This window comes from Homo sapiens, chromosome 10, assembly GCF_000001405.40.
Source record: "Homo sapiens chromosome 10, GRCh38.p14 Primary Assembly".
NCBI lineage: Eukaryota > Metazoa > Chordata > Mammalia > Primates > Hominidae > Homo > Homo sapiens.
Window position 1 is genome coordinate 130,502,670 of NC_000010.11, and position 22,689 is coordinate 130,525,358.

The 22,689-nt window shown below is 45.2% G+C and overlaps 1 annotated feature.

Annotated features, from left to right (window-relative positions):
• Positions 9,668 to 10,168: an enhancer, noted in NCBI's record as "H3K4me1 hESC enhancer chr10:132310601-132311101 (GRCh37/hg19 assembly coordinates)". NCBI's record gives its function as "activates a minimal SCP1, AML or CMV promoter by ChIP-STARR-seq in naive H9 embryonic stem cells {active_cell/tissue: H9 hESC(naive)}" and the evidence as "EXISTENCE:reporter gene assay evidence [ECO:0000049][PMID:30033119]".

Consider the following 22,689-nt stretch of genomic DNA (forward strand, 5'->3'; position numbering starts at 1 on the left):
ACAGTAAGTCTTGATATCTGTTCAAGGAATTACCCTGCCCACCACAGATCACCATGGTATCCTTTTGCAGAAGTGTGTTGGCTATTCTTGGCCATTTATTTCTCCATGTATGATTTACGATAATCTTTTCAAGTTCCATATGGAAAACGAGTCTCCTGGGATTTGGGTTAAATTTGCATTGGATGGCAGATCAAGGTGAGGAGAAACGAGCTCTGTGTAACCTTGAGGTTTTCTGTCTAGTACCCTGTTTTTATCTCTCCTCTGGGTCTTCTTTAGCTCTTTTAAATAAAGTTTTGTTAACTTTCTCTGAGAGAGACTTGTGGATATTTGGTTATGTTTATTTCTGGATACTTCGTATTTATATCGCTGTCACAAGTAACATCGTGATGGTCCTAAATTATATCAACAGATTATTCTGTACTTCTTCTTTCCAGAGGTGCAGCTTAACTCCCCATCCCTTGGAAGTGAACTGGATTTATCTGTTTGCTTCTGATGAAAAGATTAAAGCTGAACCGACAGTGTGTGAATCCAGAGACAAGCTTGTAAAGTGCACCATGGCTTGGTGCTCTCTCTCTTTTCTCCCCCTTCCCTCCTTCTCCCCTTCCTCCTCTTCCTCTTCTCTTTCTCTCTCTGATTACTTATTTTGGGGGAAGCCAGATTGTAAGAACATTCATTTGTTCTTCGAGTTGTAAGAACATTTAGAGAATTTTGAGGAGAGGCCCATGTGTTTTTGAATGTTTTTATACACTGTTGTATTTACTTTGGTAATATTCTGTAGGATTTTGCATCTATGTTCACAAGTGAAATCAGCCTGCAATTTTCCTTTCAGGTCCTTGTCTGCTTTCCATATTGAGATTCTGCTAGCCCCATAATATGACTTAGATGATTTTTCTGGATCTGTCTTCTAGTTCACTAATTTTTCCTTCGTCTGCATTTAATCCACCAATTAATCCAATTATTGAGTTATTTTTAATTAACCTTTTTATTCTGAGATGATTGTAGGTTCATATGCGGTTGGAAAAAAAGAATACAGGGAAATCCTGTGTATGCTTTACCTAGTTTCCCCCAGTGGTAACATCTTGAAAGACCATAGCACAATGTCACAGCCAGGATATCGGCATTGATACAGTCATTTCCGTCCCACCCGATCCCTCAGGTTTCCCTTTTAGGCCCATGCCTACTTCCATCCCCAACCTCATACCTGATCACTTTTGATCACTGGCAACCACTAATCTGTTCTCCAGCTCTATAATTTTGTCATTTGGAGAATTCTATAAATGAGATAGTATAATGCATGACCTTTTGAGATTGTCTTTCTTCCCGGAGCATAATTCTCTGGAGATTCATCCAGGTTCTTCCTTGTTATCAATAGTTTATTCCTTCTTATTGCTGAGTAGTATTCCACGGTATGGATGGATGCACCACAGCCTGCCTATCCATTCACCTGCTGAAGGACATCTGGGTTGTTTCCGTTTGGGGCTGTTACAAACAAAATTGCAGTAAACGTATGTGGATGTGTTTTTGTGTAAAGTTAAAATTTCAATGGAGTATTCTATACTTCTCCCTTTATTATACTTTTCTGGGATAAATGCCCAGGAATGCAATTCCTGGATCGGAAGATTTCTTTTTTTTTTGGGGGGGGGGATTTTTTAAATTATAAATTCAATTTTCTAAACAGACACAGAGCTATTCAAATGATCTATTTCATATTGGGTGAGCTGTGGTAGTTTGTGTTTTTTGAGGAATTGGTCCATTTTGTCTAAGATTTCAAATTTATGTTGTAGAGTTTTCTTTATTATTTTTTGAAGTCTGCAAGGTCTTCTGTGATATTCCTGATATTGGTAATTTGTGTCTTCTCTCATTTCTCTTTGTCAGTCTTTTAGAAATTGTGTCAATTGTATTGATCTCTTCAAAGAACAAACTCTTTGCTTCATTAATTTTCTCTATTATTTTTCTGTTTTCAATTTCATTAATTTCTGCTCTTACCTTTATTGTTACCTTTCTTCCTTCTGCTTGCTTTCATTTATTTTGCTCTTCTTTATCACAGGGCTTGAGATGTAGGCTTAGGTTACTGATTTGAGACTTTTCATCTTTTCTAATGTAAGCATCTAATACTGTGAATTTCCCTCTCTGCATGGCATTAGCTGTGTCCTGCAAATTTTGGTATGTTGTATTTTCATTTTTATTCAGTTCAGCATAAATGTTTATTTTGTTTGAGAATGTTCTTTTGAACCATGAATTATTTAGAAGGGTGTCATTTCATTTCCAAGTGTTTCTATATCTTTGTGCTATTTTTCTGCTATTGATTTCTAATTTGATTCCATTGTGGCTGAAGAACACAGTCTTTTAAATCGGTTGAGGTCTGTTTTATGGCCCACGATGTGTCCTATTATGATACACTTATATCCCATGGACACATAATAAAGGTGTGTATTCTGTTGGTCTGATGGTAACAGGCCATCAGAACGTATTAACATTAGTGTCACTAAAGTTGGTATACAACCATCCTGCTGTTAAGTCTGACTGGCTTAAAAAATGTGTTTTCTGCTGTTGTTTGGCAGAATGTTCTATAAATATTATGTATGTTATATTGCTTGGTGGTATTTTAAACTTTTCTGTATTATTGCTGATTTTATGTTCAGTTTTTCTATCATTGTTGAGAGAGGGGTACTGAAATTGCCAACTATAATGTTGATTTGTTTATTTCTCCTTTCAGTTCTATCAGTTTTTAACTTCACGGATTTTGCAGTTCTGCTGTTTGATGCATACACACTTAGGATTGCTACATCTTCTTGGTGATTTGTTTTATCATTACATAATATTCCTTTTTGTCTCCGGTAATTTTCTTTGCTCTGAAGTATTCTTTGTCTGAAATTAACATAGCCACTCCTTTCTTTTGATTGATACTTGTGTGAAATGTCTTTTCCTATCTGTTTACTTTTAGTCTGCTTATTTCTTTATATTTGAAGTAAGTTTCTTTTAGACAATATATAGTTGGAGCATGTTTTTAAATATATTTTGCCAATCTCTCTCTTCTAATTGGTGTATTTTGACCACTTACATTTAATGTAAATATTGAAATGTTAGGATTTCAATGTCATTTTAATTTTTGTTTTCTATTTGTTCTTTTTGTTTATTTCTCTGTTTGCTATTTTTTTCTGTCTTCTTGTGGCTTCCATGAGAATATTTTAGAATTCTATTTTTGGTTTATCTATAGTATTTTTGGTTGTATCCCTTTGTATAGCTTTTTAAGTTGGTTTATCTAGGTATTATATAAGCTGTCACAGTCCACTGGTGTGGGCCATTTATCAGTTCGAGTAAAGTATAAGAAACCTCACCTCTCCTTTTATCCCTTTACCCTCGCTCATTTATAATATACTTTTCTTAAAATTTTCTCTACATGTATATTCAGAACCACATTAGGCAGAGTTATCATTTTTAGTTCAACCCTCAAACACAACTTACAAGACTCGAGAGGAAAATAAAATATATTTGCCTATGCTTTTGCATGCTGAGTGCTTTCTTCCATCCTGATGTTCCAAGTCCCCTGATTCTCTTCTTTCCTGTTTAGAAAATTTCCTTCAGTCATTCTTTTCAATAGGTCTTCTGACAACAACATTCTCTTATTTCTGTTCTCCAAGAAGGTCTTATTTCCCCATCGTTCTGGAAAAATATTTTCACTGGATACAGAATTTTTGTTACTGAACAATGCGTGATGCTTCTTTTCTCCTCTTCATAGTTTCTGCTGTGAAATCCACTGTCATTCCAACAGTTTTTCCCTGGAGGTAAGGTGCCGTTTCTCTTCTCTGCTTTCAAGATATTTCCCTTCTCATTAGTTTTCGGAAGCTTGACTATAATGTGGCTTTGTATGGATTTCTTTGGATTTATCTTTTAGGGTTTGCTTAGCACTGGAAGTTTTAGGTTTACGTCTTTTGCCAAATGTGGGAAGTTTTCATCGATTATGACTTCCAGTTCTGTTTCCACCTGCCCTTGGTGGCACCGATGTTAGGACGTTTGCTACAGCCCCGCAGGTCCCTGAGGCTCTACTCACCTTTTTTAGTCTATTTTCTCTCTGTTGGTCAGATTGGGCAGTTTCTTTCGTTCTGCTAATTCTTTCCTTTGTCCCCTGCATTCTCTTGGTAAGCCCATCCTTTGGGCTTTTAACATTTTAACCACTATATATTTTTTCAGTTCTAAAATGTTCACTTGGTTTTTATTTACATCTTCTATTTGTGAAGACTTTTGATTTATTATATGAGACTCTATTTCCAGCATATCTGAAACATTTTTTGATGGTTGCTTTAGAAAGTATTTTGTCAGGTAATTCTAGCATCTCTATCACCTCAGTGTTAAACATGGATTGATTGTCTTCGCTTCATTGACTTTGAGAGCTTCCTGGTTCTTGTTATCACAAACGATTTTAAAAAAATGGAATCCTGAACATTTTAGGTACTATGTTGTAAGACTCTGAATGTTATTTGAAAGAGGAGTCACAGCTGGCTTTCTCTGACGCCACTCTGGCAGGAAAAGGGGCTGCTGTCCTGTTATTGCCAGGTAAGGCTGGAACTCCAGGCTTCCTATTTGAGCTCCATTGGCTTCTAAGGGGCTGCACCTCATGACTGTGGGTTGGGATGGAAGTTCCAAATCCCCACTAGGCACCCACTGATGACTGCTTAGTTGGGGTGTGGAGTGTGGGAGTTCCTCATTACTTCTCCCCATGTGGCCCCAGAGGAGGAGGGCCAGCCTTGCTTCCACTGGATGCTGGTAAAATTCCTGACTTTCTACTAGGTGTCCTCTGACACCACCCTAGCAAGGAGAAGGAGAGGGCGGGGAAGGCCTTTCTCATTCCTGGATCCTTCAGGCTTGCCAAATCCCAAATAGCAAGGAGGGGAGGGTGCCTTTTTCCTGCTGGGTGGGGTGAAGGTTGAGGCTCCCCTTATGGGCTCCACTGATATCCTGAAGGGGTCCTTCTTCTGCCCCTGGATATAAATGTCCCAGACCCCTACAAGGCCTTCTCTGACGCCATCTTGCAGTGGGGAGGTTGAGGCACCTCCATCAAACCACGTGAAAGTGGAAGTCCAGGCTCCCCACTTGGCCTTGGCTAGTATCAATGGCCGGGGGACGGGGTGGTGACACAGATTTTTTTCTGTGGTAGTCAGCTAGAGTAGAGCTCCTAAAAGTTTTCTGTCTTCCAGGCTGCCTCTGTCCTGATCCACTGCCTGCAGGGAGCAAACTTTGGTTGGGGTTTTCTTTGTCTGCACCTGTGAGTATTTCCAGATTGCTGGCTGCTTCCACCTGAAGTCTGAGATATGTGTAAGGTGAAAGCAAGCCCTGAGAACTCACTACTGTGTTGTTCTTCAGGTCCCAGGGTCCCTCATCCATCTGTCTTTTCTGCACCCTTCAGAAACTCTGTGTATGTTTCCATGAACAACGTCCAGGGTCTTTAGTTACACTCGGCAGGTGGAATTATGCCTCCGTTCCATCTTCCTGGACCTGGAGATCACTGAGCTTTTTATTTTAAACATCATATTTTTCATCTTTAGAAATTCTTTTTTAAAAATCATTTGTGCTCCTTGTTTACAGCTTTCTTCTATTTCTTTAAAATATCAATCATAATAAACGTTTGCATGTCTGCTTCTGTTGCTTTGCAATCACGCGATTTATTTTCTTACCTGGGAGACAGGTTGCTCTTTTCCCTCAACGCTACCCACGGACTTCTTTGAGAGGTGGGTTGAGATTTATTTCCTCCAGAGGCTGCACACTTACTTCTTCCTGTCGTCCGGAGCATTTCCACTAGGCACCGATGTAATTAAAATTTCCTGTTTGAAGTGTTTTGATCTATACTACAGTGAATTCAGACAGCAGACCTGGAAGAGAACTGGCTTGTGGTTTTCTGGGAAAGTTTTTCTCCTTCCCCCACGTGAGAATTGAGGCAAATACATTTCTTTGTTTTCTGTGTGCAAGGGTTATTGCTTGCTGTATGTAAAGGTGGACACAGCCCTCTGAGTTCTATCTTAATATGGAAAACTCCCTTGGGATTCCCCAGTGGTCCTTGGGTTTTGTCTGCTGCCCCCACATGTGTCCGTGCAGCCACCAAAGGAGAAGCTCCAGGCTCCCGAGGCTCTGCAGAAACCCCAGGGCAAGACCAGCCTTGGTCTTACCTCCCCGGGCTCCTATTTACATATTGTTTTTGTCTTCACAGAATACTGTATGCAGCCGGCACTAAAATGACAGGGTTCTCATGCACCATTGTAAGTATTTCCCATGAGAGGGCCACTCAAAGAATCTGTTCTGCACCATTGTAAGTATTTTCCGTGAGAGGGCCACTCAAGGAATCTGTTCTGCTCCAATATAAGTATTTCCCATGAGAGGACCACTCAAGGAATCTGTTCTGCCATCCTGCTGGTCACAGGAGGTGGGTAGGATTTACACGTGGGGGCTGCCAGAGCTGGAGATCTCCTTGAGACTGTACTGAGATAAGGGTCTGCTGGGACTGGCAGGAGGAGGCTGGGAAGGCTGGAGATTTTTCACAGGAAAGGGGGCCTGATGAGATGATAATCATAAAACATCAGGAAGCTCTGGCAGGTGTGGGCCGGATGCAGTGAAGGGAAACGTGCACCTGGGAGTGTCATCATGGTAGGGGGAGCAGGTGAGCTGCCGAAATTGGGGATGGAAGGAAGGAGCAGGTGCAGCACTTGGCAAACCCCCGCATACGTGCATAAGGCTGGTAGAGGAGTAGGGGCAGCTCTGGGAGTCTGACAGGGCCCGAGGTGGAGGGTGACATCCTACAGAATGGGGAAACCATGAGCTGCCAAAGAAGGCAGAGGGGAGAGGCAGCACTTGGGAATGGCGGGCAGTGAACATCGTGGATGCGCCCCTGGGTGTGAGGCAGCAGGTGGGATGATGCATCAGAGCTGGGAGAGGGCAGAGGGCTGGAGGTCTGGGTCCGAGAGTCATCTCAAGGACTCTCTGTCTCCGGGAAGGGCTGTGGCAGCTGACAGTATCCTCAGGCTTAGTTAAGCCTTAGGCTCTAAGTGGAGGTATTCCTCAGAGTTCGTGCACATGGAGTTCGCACACACGCTCCTCTCACCTCTGAGCAGGGGCAGGTGTGGGTCAGCAGAGGGAGAGGCCTGGGCAGCACACCTGCCCCACCTCTGTTTGGTGGGAGGGGTTGGCCCCCAGGTGTTTTATTTCTCCCTAGCCTCGTATTCAAGGCTTCCAGGTTAGGCCTGAAATTTGGCAAACCTGAGGGATGCAGGAATGTGAAAGCCCTTCCCCACCCTCTCCTGCTCCTCATCAGACCGTGGGGCCAGTGTTTCCTCTGGCTTTCCTGTCTCTTGCATGGGAAACCAGTCCCACTAAGCAAGCTGAAGCTCTTCTTCTCTTCCCCTTTGCAAGATGTTAGGAAACCGGAAATCAGGTGAGGTCGGGAATGGGTTGAATCCCTCGGGACTTGCTCGGGTTGAAGGGGACTGGTCGTCCGTGGGGCAGGGTGTGTGGTCTTGCCCTCTCTGTGACTGTGGGGACATGGAGAGGACTTGCAGCAGGTGCTGATGAGCCCGTCCCCGGGGGCCATGCCTGGATGCCCCGGAGGCCTCTGTGGTGGTGAGATGGGGTCTTTCTTTCCTCAGCACTCATGACATTGAGCCGGGGAGAGGGCTTTGTAAATGCCGGGCAGGTGCCCAGTGTCCACTGGTAGGAGGGGCAGACCCACATAGACGGTTTGTAAAGCACTTCGGGCCCCACTGGGACCAAGTCCTCTTGCTGTGACTCCAGTTAACCCAGCTCTCCGCTGTGCACGTGTGTTTGTCCATCGGGCCGTGTGGGCGTCTGCTCCTGGCCTGGGCGTCTGCAGGGGAGTAGCCGACTGTGACTGCAGCGGCTGCCCACACCACAGTGACTACTCAGCAGACCCCGTTCCCAGACAACGCCCCCTCCACTTCACTTCCTTCCTGGAATGGTGGATGCTGGGGACACATTTCCACTCAAAATTTTGGCTAACATTTCACAATAACGGGTCATTTTCAAAGTCACTGAGGAAATCAGTTCCCAGGTCTCTATGAAATGGTGGAAAAACTACTTGGATTCTGTGGCCAAAACAGCATTTTCTGTCAGAGAGGCGGCTGTTTGCTCCATTTTCCTGAAGCCTCAGATTCGAGCCTCCTCCATCATGTTCTAGGGTCCTGCCCTCGCAGTGGGAAGGGGAGACAAGCACAGAGAGAGGTTCTGTCTCTCCCGGCGTGTGCCTGTTGACAGGTGCTCAGAGACATTTATTCAGGCAGGAATGAGCGGACTCCTCATGTGAGTGCTGGGCCAGGGTTGGTTTCTCCACGCTCTGTGTTCCCCATGCTCCCCTTTGTGTTCGGTCCCCTCTGTGACCCACAGCATGCTAAATGGGCTTGAAGAACCGAATCTTTGCAGGTCACTTTTATTTCCTTATCTGTCAGTCACTGGGGGCAGATCATGTTCATGTCTGGAGGGGCAAATGCCTTTGACAGGAAGAAAAACAGTCATTCTAGGGCTCACTCACAGTCTGCAGGCACCAGGAAGAGATGCTTTCCCTGTGCTTCTTTTCTTTCTGGAGACAGAGTCTCACTCTGTCGCCCATGCTGGAGTGCAGTGACACGATCTTGGCTCACTGCAACATCCGCCTCCTGGGTTCAAGTGATCCTCCTGTCTCAGCCTCCCAAGTAGCTGGGACTACAGGAGCCCACCACTATGCCCAGCTAATTTTTGTATTTTTAGTAGAGACGTGGTTTCACCATGGTGGCCAGGCTGGTCTAGAACTCCTGACCTCAGGTGATCCCCATGCCTTGGCCTCCCAAAGTGCTGGGATTACAGGCATGAGCCATCGCACCTGTGGTTGTTTTCTGAAGAGCTTTCTGATCCTCTCTCATTTCCCTCCTTGCTCTGGCTTTCAGGACATTCGGAGTCCAGTTGGATTCACAATCATGGAGAGAGACTGGGCCTCCCTGGTTAGGACGGTGGCGTCTCTCTCCTCTTCCAAATTACGACCTCCTCAAATCTGCATTACTGTCAGTATATTATCTGATTGAATTACTTTGCCTTGTTTTGGGAAAGAAGAGATTGAGGAGGGGACTAATACATGAGTAAAAGAAAAGAAATGATATTTGTAAGTGAGCCGACTTTATCCATGGTGCTGTGAGTGAGGGCAGCTGCTGTGTGTCCCTGAGCGTGATTCCTTCCAGCCAGAGACGGACGAACAGCAGCCTCCACGGAGCAGAGGCAGACGCAGACCCAGCCGGAAAATATCAGTGTGGTTTCTCAGTTCACTTGGGCTGCTGTAACGAAGTCCTGCTGACTGGGTGGTTTCAGCATCAGAGATGTATTTCTCACAGTTCTGGAGGCAGGAGGTCTGTGGTCAGGCTGCCAGCATGGTTGGGTTCTGGGGAGGGCTCTTCTGGGTTGCAGGCGGCCACCTTCTTGCTGCATCCCCACAGGCGGGGAGAGAGCTCCCTGGGGCTCCTTTTATAAGGCGCTGTCCCATCCCTGAGGCCCCACCCTCATGACCTAATCACCTCCCAAAGACCCCACCATGTAACCCCATCACCTTAGGGGTTAGGTTTCAACATATGAATCTGGTGGGGACACAGACATTCAGCCCCTTGCACCTGCTCCTGGGGCCGTGAAGTACTGTGGGAAGAGGGCAGCTTTGGGCCAGCATTCACATCTCGGCTTGTGTGCTGCTCAGCCATGTGACCCGGGGCTGGGCAGCCTGTCTGAGTCCTGGCCTCCTCGTCTGTCAACACTGGATGTGTGGTGCTCCCTGGCAGAGCTGTTGTTGGGACTGGAGAAGGGATGTGCGGAAATGGACTTAGTATGACGTTGGGATCCTACTGTGGACTTAACTTTGTGGGCACAGGTGGAGTTAGGGCAGAAGCCGCACTGATTCCCTGAAGTATAATGTGAGACAGTCTCTCAGGGGTTCCTGCTGCCCAGTGAGCTCCCGTGCACTGTCCAGGCTGGGCCACCCAGCAGTCTGTGGGAGTGGGTACACACACACTCTGCCAATCCAGGCCCCATCCCTAATTGCAGATGCCCTGAGCAGGCAAGTGTGGATGCAGGCTTGGTGCAAGCAATCCTTAGGACTAGAGCCACAGCGGCTCGCATGGCTCCTGGTGGCACTAGGGCCCAGAGTCTGGCTTGTGGAGGGCGAGGCCATCCTGTTGGGAAGAGGAGGCAGGTGGGGCTGCTTAATAGCAGTGCTCAGCGTATCCTTGGCACCTCCGGCAACTCTCAGTTCAAGAGACACCTACAGACCACAGCACAGCAGTGATGGTGCTGACAGCCTTCAGGGTCTACCGTGTGCTGTGTGCAGTGCAGACAGGCTTTGGCTCAAAAGCACCTGCTGTTCTTCTCTCTGCCTGCTGGTGCCCAGGGTTGAGGTGGGAAGGAAAAAATGGGGCATGGCCAGTGAGAAGAGCACAGACTCTTTGTCTGCAAATGCCACTTGTTGTCCCTGTGCCAGAGCACAGCTCTGTGGACCCTGAGGTTCTGTTGTCCTGAGTTCTCTGTCACAGTGGGGAGTTCATGGCAGCAGGGAGGCCAAGCCTACAACCTGTGACTAGCAGACCCCTGCTGCCACTGAGCCCCTTGGTCTGAACTAGCTGGCACCCTGGTATGAGCAGGGGCTCACAGCACCCACGAGGCTGCTGGGGGAGAAAAGCCATCAGGATTCCTCCCTGGTCTGGGACCTGGCACCTGGTTGGTACCTGCTAAGTGTCCAGGTCTGTGTAGCTGAATGAATGACGGTGTGTGCCAGGGCACCCACTGGAAGTGCTCAGGCTGGGTTCTGTTCTCAGGCAGTTTCCACCCACTAGAGCAGAAGCATTCTGTCCAGAGTCAGCATAGGGAGGTCGAAAGCTCCTTAGCTCTGTATTTAAGTGGGGCATCCGCCAGAATGTAGATTCCTGGGCTGGGGGATTCCACTGGCTGCCACGGATCAGAACTGGGGGTGCTGGGGCACTCTAGCATGGGGTTCTAAGCTGCACCTCAGGTGATTCTGTGCACACTGGAGTTTGAGATTCCACTGCCTTGGAGACGCTGATGCTGGCTGGTCCAGTCTCTGCTTCAAGCTGAAGCTTGCAGAGATGCTAAGCTTGGTGTCATCACAAGCAGGAATGGGCACTCCTGTGCCATGTGTGGGACGGAGGAGGCTGTAAGACTGTTGGTGGGATTCTTAAACTCACTAAGTATTAAAATCAAAGCTTTGGAGCTTTGAAACAATACAGATGGCTGGGCTCCACCCTGAAATTTGGAATTGGTTGACCTGGGAGGGGTCTGGGCCTGTGTTTCGTGAAAGCTTCCCCCATGCTGTTATTGAGTGGTTAGCATTGAGAACTCAAATGTCTCAAATGCCAGGTTTTTATTACCCATACTTGGGAAAGATGGCAGCAACTGGTGTGCAATTATGAGTGTTCCCCAATATAACCAGGGTGCCCTCCTTTGGGGTGCTCAGCAGAACTGAGCTTCCCCAGCCCTTGAAGTTGATTTGGCCAGGAGACCAGCTCTGGCCATCGGGTTGGTAAAAGTGACGTCCAGGCCCCACGCCCACAGCTCCTGCTGCTCTGCTGACCACACTGGGTGTGCGGCGAGCGAGGAACACACTGCACTGTTGGAAGCCGCTGTGCTTTCGAGCTTATTTGTCTCCACGTTGTTCCCTAGCCTCTCCTGACAGACATGTTGGGTCGGGTTTTATCAGAAAGTGTTAAAACTAACAAGAGTTCTGTATTATAAAATGCCTCCTTCATTACCTTAATAGAATAAGTGAACTAGGTTTTTCTTTTTTGAGCAAACACAGCTTTCTGAGTCCTCCAGTTTTGCTTTTAAGATGTCACTTGTTGAGGGATGAAGCCAGCCTTTTGGTGCAAAAATATTTTCTGTTGCCTTGTCAAGGTAATGCGCTGCGAAATGTATTCAGTTCATGGAACTTGATTATTTAGTTTGTCCCTGGGAAATGAGTGTTATGTCAAGGCAAAAAAATCCAAAATGATTGCAGCAAATGGGGGTATTTTCTCACAGAGAAAAATGCCTCCAGAAAGTCAATTGATCCATTGATCCATGATGGATGGGCATGTTGGGCTCTATTCTCCTGAGTTTTACCGAGGGAAATTTCAAGTTAGGGAGAAGGAAGAAAATACACCACTTACTTTATTTTATTTTCTATTTTTTATTTTTTTGAGATGGAGTCTTGCTCTGTCACCCAGGCTGGAGTGCAGTGGCATGATCTCAGCTCACTGAAACCTCTGCTTCCTGGGTTCAAGTGATTCTCCTGCCTCAGCCTCCCCAGTAGCTAGGATTACAGGCATCTGCCACCATGCCAGGCTAATTTTTGTATTTTTAGTAGAGATGGGTTTTCACCATGTTGGCCAGGTTGGTCTCGAACTCCTGACCTCAAGTGATCCACCCGCCTCGGCCTCCCTGAGTGCTGGGATTACAGGTGTGAGCCACCGCACTTGGCCCCACTTACTTTAAAATGCATTTTTTCCCTTCAGGGGAAAATTTAGCAGCTGTTATGATTTGCTGCTTTTTGTAAGAATTTTTTTTCAACTTCTAATGCATTAGACTTACCATAAGCTTCCTGCCAAGGTGAGAGCTTGCATTTAGTGAGTGATGAGCCTTACTTTATTTAATTATTAACTACAGTGATGGCTAGGCTGAGGGAAGGAAGTAGAGAATGTTAGGGTAATAGAAAAGAATTCAGAGTTCAGATGTCCTGACATTTGCATTTTATAAAATTTCTATTCATGCTTCGGGGAGAAATAACTTTAAAATACTAGTGAGAGTAAGCAGCCCTTCCAAAAATTCAGTATGTATTTTAAAGTTATTTTTCCTAGCTCTGTAGTGATACTTAGGTTTGAATAATTTATGACTCTTTTCTAAAAGTCAAAATTCACTTGACAAGGGCCAATTCGATTTTTCTGAAATATTTTATATGAAATTAAAAGTCTTGTAGATACTAAAAACTTTGGAGAGTATCGGAAGAGAGAATGCTGGTAATGGCTCGCACTTTCTTCAGTGCCAGTTAGAGAAGGGTTTGGAATGTTCTCTCCTGTTCTGCAGGTGTGCTCCACATCCCCAGCCACTCAGGTCCCCAGAATGCGACAGGACCTGGAGGGCAGCGAGCTCGTCATCCTTGGTGTTTGAATGCCATCTATCTGTCCCAACCTGGTAGGCCACCTTCCTCCTGGGAAAACTGGAAAACCAAAGAATTGCTTCTGATCAGATCCCTGGGAAGATGTTCACCAGGATGTAAAACTTGTCTAAAGAGGTGGGGGGTTCAGGCTGGCACTGTGGAGGCCGTGTTCATGCATTCATCCCAGAAGCGGCTCCCCTGAGAGCAGGCTTGGGGTGTGGAGACTAGACCAGCATGGGGATGATCACGGCCCCTCCTGTCCTGCAAACCCCTGTCCTGCGACTTCTCCTCTTCTTCCTGGGACTGCACTTTCTAGGAGGAGGACATGGCATCCAGGATGCAGGAACAGCTGGTCAGGTGCTTGTCTTGGAGACAGGCTGGTGCCAAGGTGCAGTTGTAGGTTCTCTCGCTGGCTGGCATTCTGGGTGGGTGCCAGCCTGGCCCATGGGTACAAATTGGACTCTCTGGGCTGAGGAACATGAAGGTGAAATCCTGCTTAGCTCCCAGGCCACTTTCGTGTTTAGACTGCCCTGAGCTGCCTGCTATTTTTGTGGCAGCTGTGGGCATTGCTAATAAACACAGACTTGTACACCTGTGGGGTTAAAAGTAAGTTGACATAGCTTGTGCATCAGTTTGGGCCCACGGGTCAGGAGCAGCCCTCAGTTTTCTCCATGAGTCAGGTGAGGAGAGAGTCCAAGGGTGAGGAGTAAATTCATTCCAATGGGAGGAGGAGTCAGCGTTCCCTCCAGGAAGCCACCAGGGCTCTCCTTCCTCCCCTCCATGAAAGAAGGAAGGGAAGGATCCAGAGGACAGAGTGGGGAGAAGGGAGGCAGGTGACATGGGAGGGACAGGAGGTGGGACAAAGAGAAGCAGGACTTACTGGACCAAAGCCTTCTGATATCTCTTGGCATAGTCTGGGAGCTCAGCTCTGGGGACCGGGTGGCACCCAGGGCTGCAGGTCACCGTATCTGCAGTTCCCAAGTATCCGCTCCCTCCTCCTTGGAAGTTGGCTTCTTAGACACAAGGGAAGCACCTCAGAGACCCTCCTCCTATGAAATTGAGCCCTTGCCCTTGTGTCCTTGCGTGGCCTCAGAGCAAGGAGAGCAGCTCTTCCCACTGCACACAAGGGGAGGTGGGTGCCGCCACTTGCATTGGCCACCATCGTCCTAGTCACGTAGCAGTTTCCCTGAGTGTTGTTTAAAACAAAAGCCAACTTTTAGCCTGGAAGGCGGTGGAGAAGCACTGCTCTCTGACCATACTGGATGAAATCTCTTCTTAAAATAGTCTTCTAAGGGCCTACTGAAAATGAACAATTATAACAGGAATAAAGTGTGAAAAACGGCCCATTTTATTTTCTGGGTGCAAGTGGACTTCTTTTTTGTTGCTTTCTCTTAAACAGCTGCTTAATTGTGTTGGCGATCTTGCTTGGCTGCATTGGAGGATAAAAAACACACCAGCGTTTGCTTAAATCCAGACTCCTACGCTGATTATTCTCATTTCTGATTTCAATGCAGCACGTCTTTTATTTGAACAGCAGCACCACGTTCTGTTCTTAGCTGAGGGCAGCACATAGCAGGTGATGGAATAACCCTGCCCGCCATGGTAGGAACAGAGGCACAGGAACTTGTAGCAATTCAAATGGCCGAGCTCTCTCGAACCTCCAAGTTTTACATGTGTACCCGGAATAACTATGGGTGTTTGTACAAGAACAAACATCAGGACTGGGATATAATTTTCCCAAAGTAGTCACTCAAACTACCGTGGGTCAGAGATAGGAGAACAGGAAGCTCTCGTGGATGTCAACAAAATAAGGGAAGTTAAATGTATGCCGAATGCAAGTGGGTGTGCCAATGATGCGTCCTTGAAATCATCTCTCCTTGTGACCTGTTCCTTTTCTCTACCCCAGAGACAATGTGCCCAGATCATGGTGAATTTTAGATTCTTCCTGAAGGCGGGCTCCTAGGTTGTGGGGAGTTGGCTCTGCTGGTGGGGGAGGCCGGGGCTTGGCTGGTCAGGGAGGCCAGGACTTAGTTGGTGGGGGAGGCCGGGGCTCGGCTTGTCTCCTTGCTGGGTTCCCTGCGGCTGCAGGCTTCCCCCAGGAGGCAGTAATATATCACCACGCTATTGTCACAGGAGCTCGGGCAGCTGAAAAGTGGCCAAGGGACTCGGCCATCTGTATTTTCTATGGAAACATAATAGAATTCATTTTCCAATTGTTCATTGAGGTAAAAATGTTGAACTCAGTCTCCATGTATGACACTTCCAGGCAATTGGAAACGGGGACGTTCGGGATGGCTGTGGGGGTTTCCTTGCTAATGCCATTTTGCACACTCACTGGTCTTACCCCCTCCTTGGTACCTGAGGCATTTCAGAGATGTGCGAACCTGGAAGATGAGGAGCAGGTCTCTCCTGCACTGAAACGGGTTCCTGCTGGCACAGTGCGTCGCTCCTCTGCCCACAGGTTTATATTCAAGGCTGAAGAAGAGATAGCTGCCCAGCCTCAGGAGCGTTAGAAAGGAAAATGATTTGGGGCTGCTTTTCATGAAAAGGAAAGCCTTACCCAGGACTTCCCTACCGCCACTATCTGCCTAAGTAATTTCTTCTTAACTCCTGTATCATTGCTCTCATCCATTACCCAAGAAGGAGGAAAAAGAGTCATGGGATGAGGGGGAGCCCACCAGGAAGTCCACTGCTGGTGGTCGTCCATGGGAAGACAGCCCACAGGCATCTGCCACGTGACCGTGGCGGCCTTGCTGGCTGAGGAGGCACAGCGTGCCAGATGTTGTACAGGCTTTGCCTTTGCTCCCTGTCCTTCCTGCTGGCTCCCCCTCATCCTGTGACTCTTTTTCCTCCTTCTTGGGTAATGGATGAGAGCAATGATACAGGAGTTAAGAAGAAATTACTTAGGCAGATAGTGAGGGTAGGGAAGTCCTGGGTAAGGCTTTCCTTTTCATGAAAAGCAGCCCCAAATCATTTTCCTTTCTAACAAAGAGCAGCGTGTAAAATCAAGCGGCAGCATAGACGCAGGCAGTTGTGCCAATCATGTTCAAAATGGCGGCTCCATCTTCCCTTCTGCCAGCCACCTGTACAGTAAGGAGCAGGCAAGATGGCGCTGGTCAAAGTAAGGAGCAGGCAAGATGGCGCTGGTCAAAGTAAGGAGCAGGCAAGATGGCGCTGGTCAAAGTAAGGAGCAGGCAAGATGGCGCTGGTCAAAGTAAGGAGCAGGCAAGATGGCGCTGGTCAAAGTAAGGAGCAGGCAAGATGGCGCTGGTCAAAGTAAGGAGCAGGCAAGATGGCGCTGGTCAAAGTAAGGAGCAGGCAAGATGGCGCTGGTCAAAGTAAGGAGCAGGCAAGATGGCGCTGGTCAAAGTAAGGAGCAGGCAAGATGGCGCTGGTCAAAGTAAGGAGCAGGCAAGATGGCGCTGGTCAAAGTAAGGAGCAGGCAAGATGGCGCTGGTCAAAGTAAGGAGCAGGCAAGATGGCGCTGGTCAAAGTAAGGAGCAGGCAAGATGGCGCTGGTCAAGGGGAAAGTTCATTTGTGTAATAAGATTAGGGTGGGGCGGGCAGCCTTCCCTGAGCGCTATGTAAACGTCAAGCCTGATCAAACCAATCTGTGAGCCCCACGTAAATCAGACACCACCTCCTCAAGCTGGACTAGAAAATCCAGCGCATCCACCTGCTGGCATTTTCCTCTGGGAAGTTCCCTCTCTCGCTCTCTCGAGAGAGCTGTTTTCCTTTCTCTTTTTCTTGCTCCTAAACTCCTCGTGTGTGTCCGTGTCCTAAATTTTCCTGGCACGAGAGGATGAACCCCAGGTGTTTACCCCAGACAAGGTAGCCATTTGGGTAACAGTCTGTCAAGTTTACCCCAAGGCCATGCAGTTTTGTTGTTGGCGGGATTTGCCTGTTTCTTTTGTAAAAATGTTGTTACAACTAAACCCAGATGAGTAAAGTGTGCCCATGGAACCCCTCAGTGGCATTTCTATAATTTGGAGTTTTAGCACAGTTAGAAAAGGCTCGTTCATATTAAAGTCTTTATTGCTCCAGTTTGAGGCTACTCAGAATGCACTTCCTCTCCCCACGTTCTGGCTCTTCCTCTCGACAGGTGCATATGTTCAAGTCTCCTAACCACACGTTACCACCCACTTCTCCCCTTATCACTCTAGAATCCGCGGTTTTTCAAAAATGCTTAACCATTTCCCAGTAAACTGGCGTAGGGGCTAAGAGACACCACTCTAAGGTCAGGCTCAGGCTTTGCAGGCTCACCTGCCCCTTCACGGCTGTGGCCCTGGCCTCTGTCAGGCTTTGCTTTGATTGGCCTCTGTGCTTTCGATTTCTTTCCTGGGAACTGAAGTTCTAACAATGGCCCAACTCAAAGGCCAATCATGAGGATTAAGTGAAACAGCACATGTAAGTACTTAGACCAATGTTGAGCACACAGCGAGAACTTCATAAATCATCGACGTTGTTAGGCAGGTCCAAAGTCCCAGTGATACATATTCTCTATTGTGTTTGAAAGCTCAAAAAATTGGAGACAAACCAAACAACAATCAAATAACTACCAGGTTTCTACACCTGTTAATTTATGCTAGTTTGGACCAGCCCTCCCACTGAGAACACATGAAAAAGCTGGACAAAGAACTTAAAAAATCTGTTGGAAAGTATTAGAGAGTTATCAAGATGTAGGAAAGGAGAGGAGCATATAGAGGAGCCTGTTATTTGGGGTAGGTTTCACCCTAGAGATGTTTGCAGTTTTTGAAAACGATGGCCCAGAGGCTGAGAAGCAAAGCAAGTTCTCTGCAGGCACAGAGGACTAGGAAGACAGAACTTGAAGTAAAATTTTGATAACTAAAGGATGCACTTCGTAATCTCTAGGAGAAGCATAAAAAGAGTAGTAAAAGCATGTGCAACTGTCAAGCTGATAGAGATAGCAAATGGAAGAATAAAAAAAATCTAAAAGATGGCAAGAAAAGAGATAAAGGAGCATAGAAGAGTTAGGCAAGATAGAAAGTAAATAATAAGATTGTATGTTAACTTTCAAATACACCAGCAACCCTCACGCTTTGGTTTGGGACCTTAAAGATTTATAATTCAAGAAAAAAAAAAGAAATGGATAAACAAGAAATGGAGGCACCAATACAGACTAGCTTAAAATCACCTCAATCCGTGACTGGATTAAGGTGATCAGGGATGACTTCTTCCCCTTGTTCCCCTAGTTTAGCTAACTAAAAGAAAAGATGAATACTTTCTGAAGGAAGATACACCACTCAAATCCTCAAATTATCCCCACTGTTTTTCACATGAAAGTTTTCCATTTCATTAAAAGAAAACAGCTAGACATATGAGGAAACAAAGCATAACCAAAAATCAAAAGAACATAAGCAAACAAAACAGATCTACACAGTATCCAGAAGATAGGATTATTGACATGAAACTGTGGAGTTCTCTGACAAAAACTTTGTAATAGCAATGCCTAATATATTTATGTAAATAAAAAGATCGAAGAAATTGACAAAGAATCGGAAACTATAAAAAACCCAAAATGCTAATTCTGTAACTGAAAAGTACAATAATAGAAATTAACCATTCAGTAGCTGAGTTTAATGACAGATCAGATAAGTCAAAGGGAGAATCGGTAACCCTGAAGACATGTCAGAAGAACATATCCAAACTTCAGTCACTGAGAGATAAATGGATTAAAAAATGAAAAACAGAAAAGTAATATTAGGATGAGTGATGTGAATTTTGTAAGAAGCAATGAATGAGTGCTGATAATTCCTCATAGCCCAGCTGAGCACATAAAATTGGAGCTCAGAAGGCAAAAAGTGAGAAGAATAAAAGACATTAAATGACAAATTCAAGGAGTACTATAAAACCTGGGGTAAATATTGAGAAAACTGCAGTAAGCAAATTATAGCAAAACAGCTGAAATCAAAGACAAAGAGAAATTCTTAAAAGGAGACAAAACAACAAACAAACAAAAACAACCCACTTCTTACGTTCAGAGAAACAAGATTGATAGCTGACATTTTAACGAAAATGGTGAAACACAGGCAGCAACTAAAAAGATAGGTTTAAAGTGTTGAAGGAAAGTAACTACTTATCTAGAATTCTGCATGCTGTAACAATATTTTTCAAAAATGAAGACAAAGATTTTGAGACAAAGAAAAATATCAGCACAGACAACAGTGATAGAAACAAACTATTATTATGCAGGCAGAATAATAATAATCCCAGATGGAAGTTGAGTGATACAGAGAGGAATTAAGAACAAAGAGAATGGTAACTATGTGGGTATATTTAAAATAATATAATAATAATGTTTAATGGGTTTTAACAAGTATAGAGTCTTAAAATACATAATAGTATACAAGTTGGAGGGTGGTTAATGGAGCTAATGTGTCCTAATTAGAAGGAAATAAATACACATATTAGGAAAAAGGCTAATAATTAATCATTAAGAAATCTACCTACAGAAGCAAATTAAACCCTAAGAAAGTAGAAGGATGGAAATAATTATAAGAGTATAAATTAAAGTAATAGAAAATAAATATACAATACAGAGATTTAATGAAGCCAAAGTGGAATCTCTGAAAAGGGGCAAAGCCCTGCCTGGTACCACAAGAATTCAGGACTGCAAAGGGGTTAGTGCCACAGACCCTGCAGCCACCACACGGATCACAGGTGACCAATCCCTGGGAGAAATTTCACAGAGATAAATTTGAACATTGGGATAAAATTATTAAATTCCTGGAAACAAATAGAAAAACAGACCCATGGGAAAATAAAAACTTTGAGTATTCTTTGCAGAATTAAATATGCCGAATTTATATTTTTATATACACACACACACCACACACACACACACGATACACTTCATTTTCAAAAGGTTTCAACAGCAGATCCTATCAAACTCTGATGGAAAAAATTATTCCAATCCACATGAGAGAACAAAAAAAGAAGCTACAGATTCCAATTTCTTTCATAAGAGTCAAATAATGTGGAAGTGGAAATTTGACAAAGACAATACAAGAAAATAAAAATTGAGTTCGATGTCACTCACAAATGTAGACTTTAAAATCCTCAGCAAAACATTAGCTAACCAAGTCTAGCAATGAATAAAATGATCATACATGATGTCCAACTCACATTTATTTTGGAATACAAGTTTGATTTAACATTTGAAAGTCAATCAGTGTAAGTCACCAAGGGACGAGAAGAAAAAAGACAACTCACGACATTTCAGTAGATGAGGGAAAAAGCCTTTGATAAAAACTCTTAGAAAATAAGGAAGTAAATATATAGAATTTAACCTGATGGTCACACAGAACGTCATATCAAATGGTGAAATATTCAAATATTTTCCCATAAAACTGGAAGCAAACAAGAATGTCCTTTTTTAAAAATACCATTTCCATTTAACATTATGTTAGAATTCATAGCCAGTGCAATAGCGAAAAATTAAAAAATAACATTTATTATAGTTGCAAGAAATACAACTGATATTATTTGAATATCATTTGGAGTGTATACAAAATACTTCAAGGAATCTATAGGGAAATTATTAAATTTAAGATAGTGTGATGATTAATGTTGAGTGTCAACTTGATTGGATTGAAGGATGCCAAGTATTGTTCCTGGGTGTGTCTGTGAGCGTGTTGCCAGAGGAGATTAACATTTGAGTCAGTGGACTGGGAGAGGCAGATCCACCCTCAATCTGGGTGGACACCATCTAATCAGCTGCCAGCGTGGCTGGAATAAAGCCGGCAGGAGAAGCTCGAAAGAACAGACTTGCTGAGTCTTCTGGGCTTCATCTTTCTCCCATGCTGGATGCTTCGTGCCCTTGAACATCAGACTCCAAGTTCTTCAGCTTTTGGAGTCTTTGACTCACACCAGTGATCTGTCAGAAGCTCTCAGGCCTTCGGCCACAGACTGAAGGTGCACTGTCGGCTTCCCCACTTTTGAGGTTTTGGGGCAAACTGGCCTCCTGGCTCTTCAGCTTGCAGACAGCCTGTTGTGGGACTTCACCTTGTGATCATGTGAGTCAATACTCCTTAATGAACTCCCCTTCATATATACGTCCATCCTATTTGTCCTGTCCCTCTAGAGAACCTTGACTAATACAGATAGTGTTCAGTAAGGACACTGAATTCAATGTTGTTTTCCGGATACTACCAACAACTATTAGAAAATAAAATGAAAAAATCTTTGCCATTTACAATAGTGTTAGATAGATGAAAGGAACAGAATGAAATCCAGGAGTAGACCCACACGTATGTGGACATTTGATTTTAATGGTGGAGCAGGTACAGATTTTTTTTTTCAACAAACAATGCTGAATCCTCTGAATATCCATGTGGGAAAAAGTCAGCCTTGCCTCACCACATAAACAAATGCCAGCCACACAGTGAGCTTCAACATGAAAGGCAAAAGGAAAAAATTAAAGTTCTATCCATCAAGGACAAGATTTGCAAGTTAGATTGTGCTGTAATTGAGAACTTCTGGTCATCAAAGGAGACCACTATGAGGGTAAAATGCAAGCCACAGAGGGAGAGAAGGTATTAGCGACACAAATTGTGTACATATGGCTCACTGTGGAGAGTCTCTATTGAAAGAGAGAGATGCTAAAATCTCAGTCCAGCTATGGTGATTGTTGCCATTTTTTTTTTTTTTTTTTGGTGTTCTGCTATCAAAATCCACCATGATCTATAGACAGGCTCAGATGCGACATCCCGAGTCTGCACCCTAGCTTTCCCTGTGCACCTTGCTAAGTTTGTGAGCAGGGCGCAGCTCCCTCGATTAGGTGCATGCAGACCCACCGCTGGAGTGGAGCTCTCCTAGGTGATGGTGGCGCCTCCTGGGACCTCCTCTGTCCCCCTTTCTTTGAACACCTTCAATGCAATGCATGAGGAATGAAACCGCTGTTTGTTTGTAGAGGTGAGATGCCCACGAGTTTCCCCAGATACCAGCCAGTTGTCATGCCAACCCTTGTCTTTTATGGGTGATTGAGCTAACCTTTGCCCTCAGTCCTTCAGCTTGGTGAGGGGCACTCAGCTCCATTTCTTTGCCCAATTACAGAGGACGTCCACATAAGTCTTACTGAGGATGCACCTGGCAGCGTGGTGGGTGCCCCCTGGCTTGGCAGAGGGCCTCGTGGGAGCCAGCCATCCATGTGAGATGGCGTGAGTGCTGTCACCCACATGTGCCTGCTTCAGAGGGTCTGTTTCTTGTTTTGAGAGCCCTTCTGGATCCCCACGGGTCTGACGTCCTATGGCATCCTGATGGTGTCTCTCAAACACACCTGGGCTGTGACCCCTTCAAGCTGGTCTTTGGCCCCAGCTCAGGTGCCAGATCCTGGAACTCTGTGAAGGTTTAAGATTGACGAGTGGAACCCCAGAGGGAACAATGAAGGAATTACCTGTGTCAAGCCCATGAACAGCTTGCCTGTCCCCTGTTTTGTGAGATCCAGAGATGGCATTCAAGAGGAGCACAAGTGCACGGAACAGATCCTCAAAAAGGTAAGTGAAGGCTCGGGC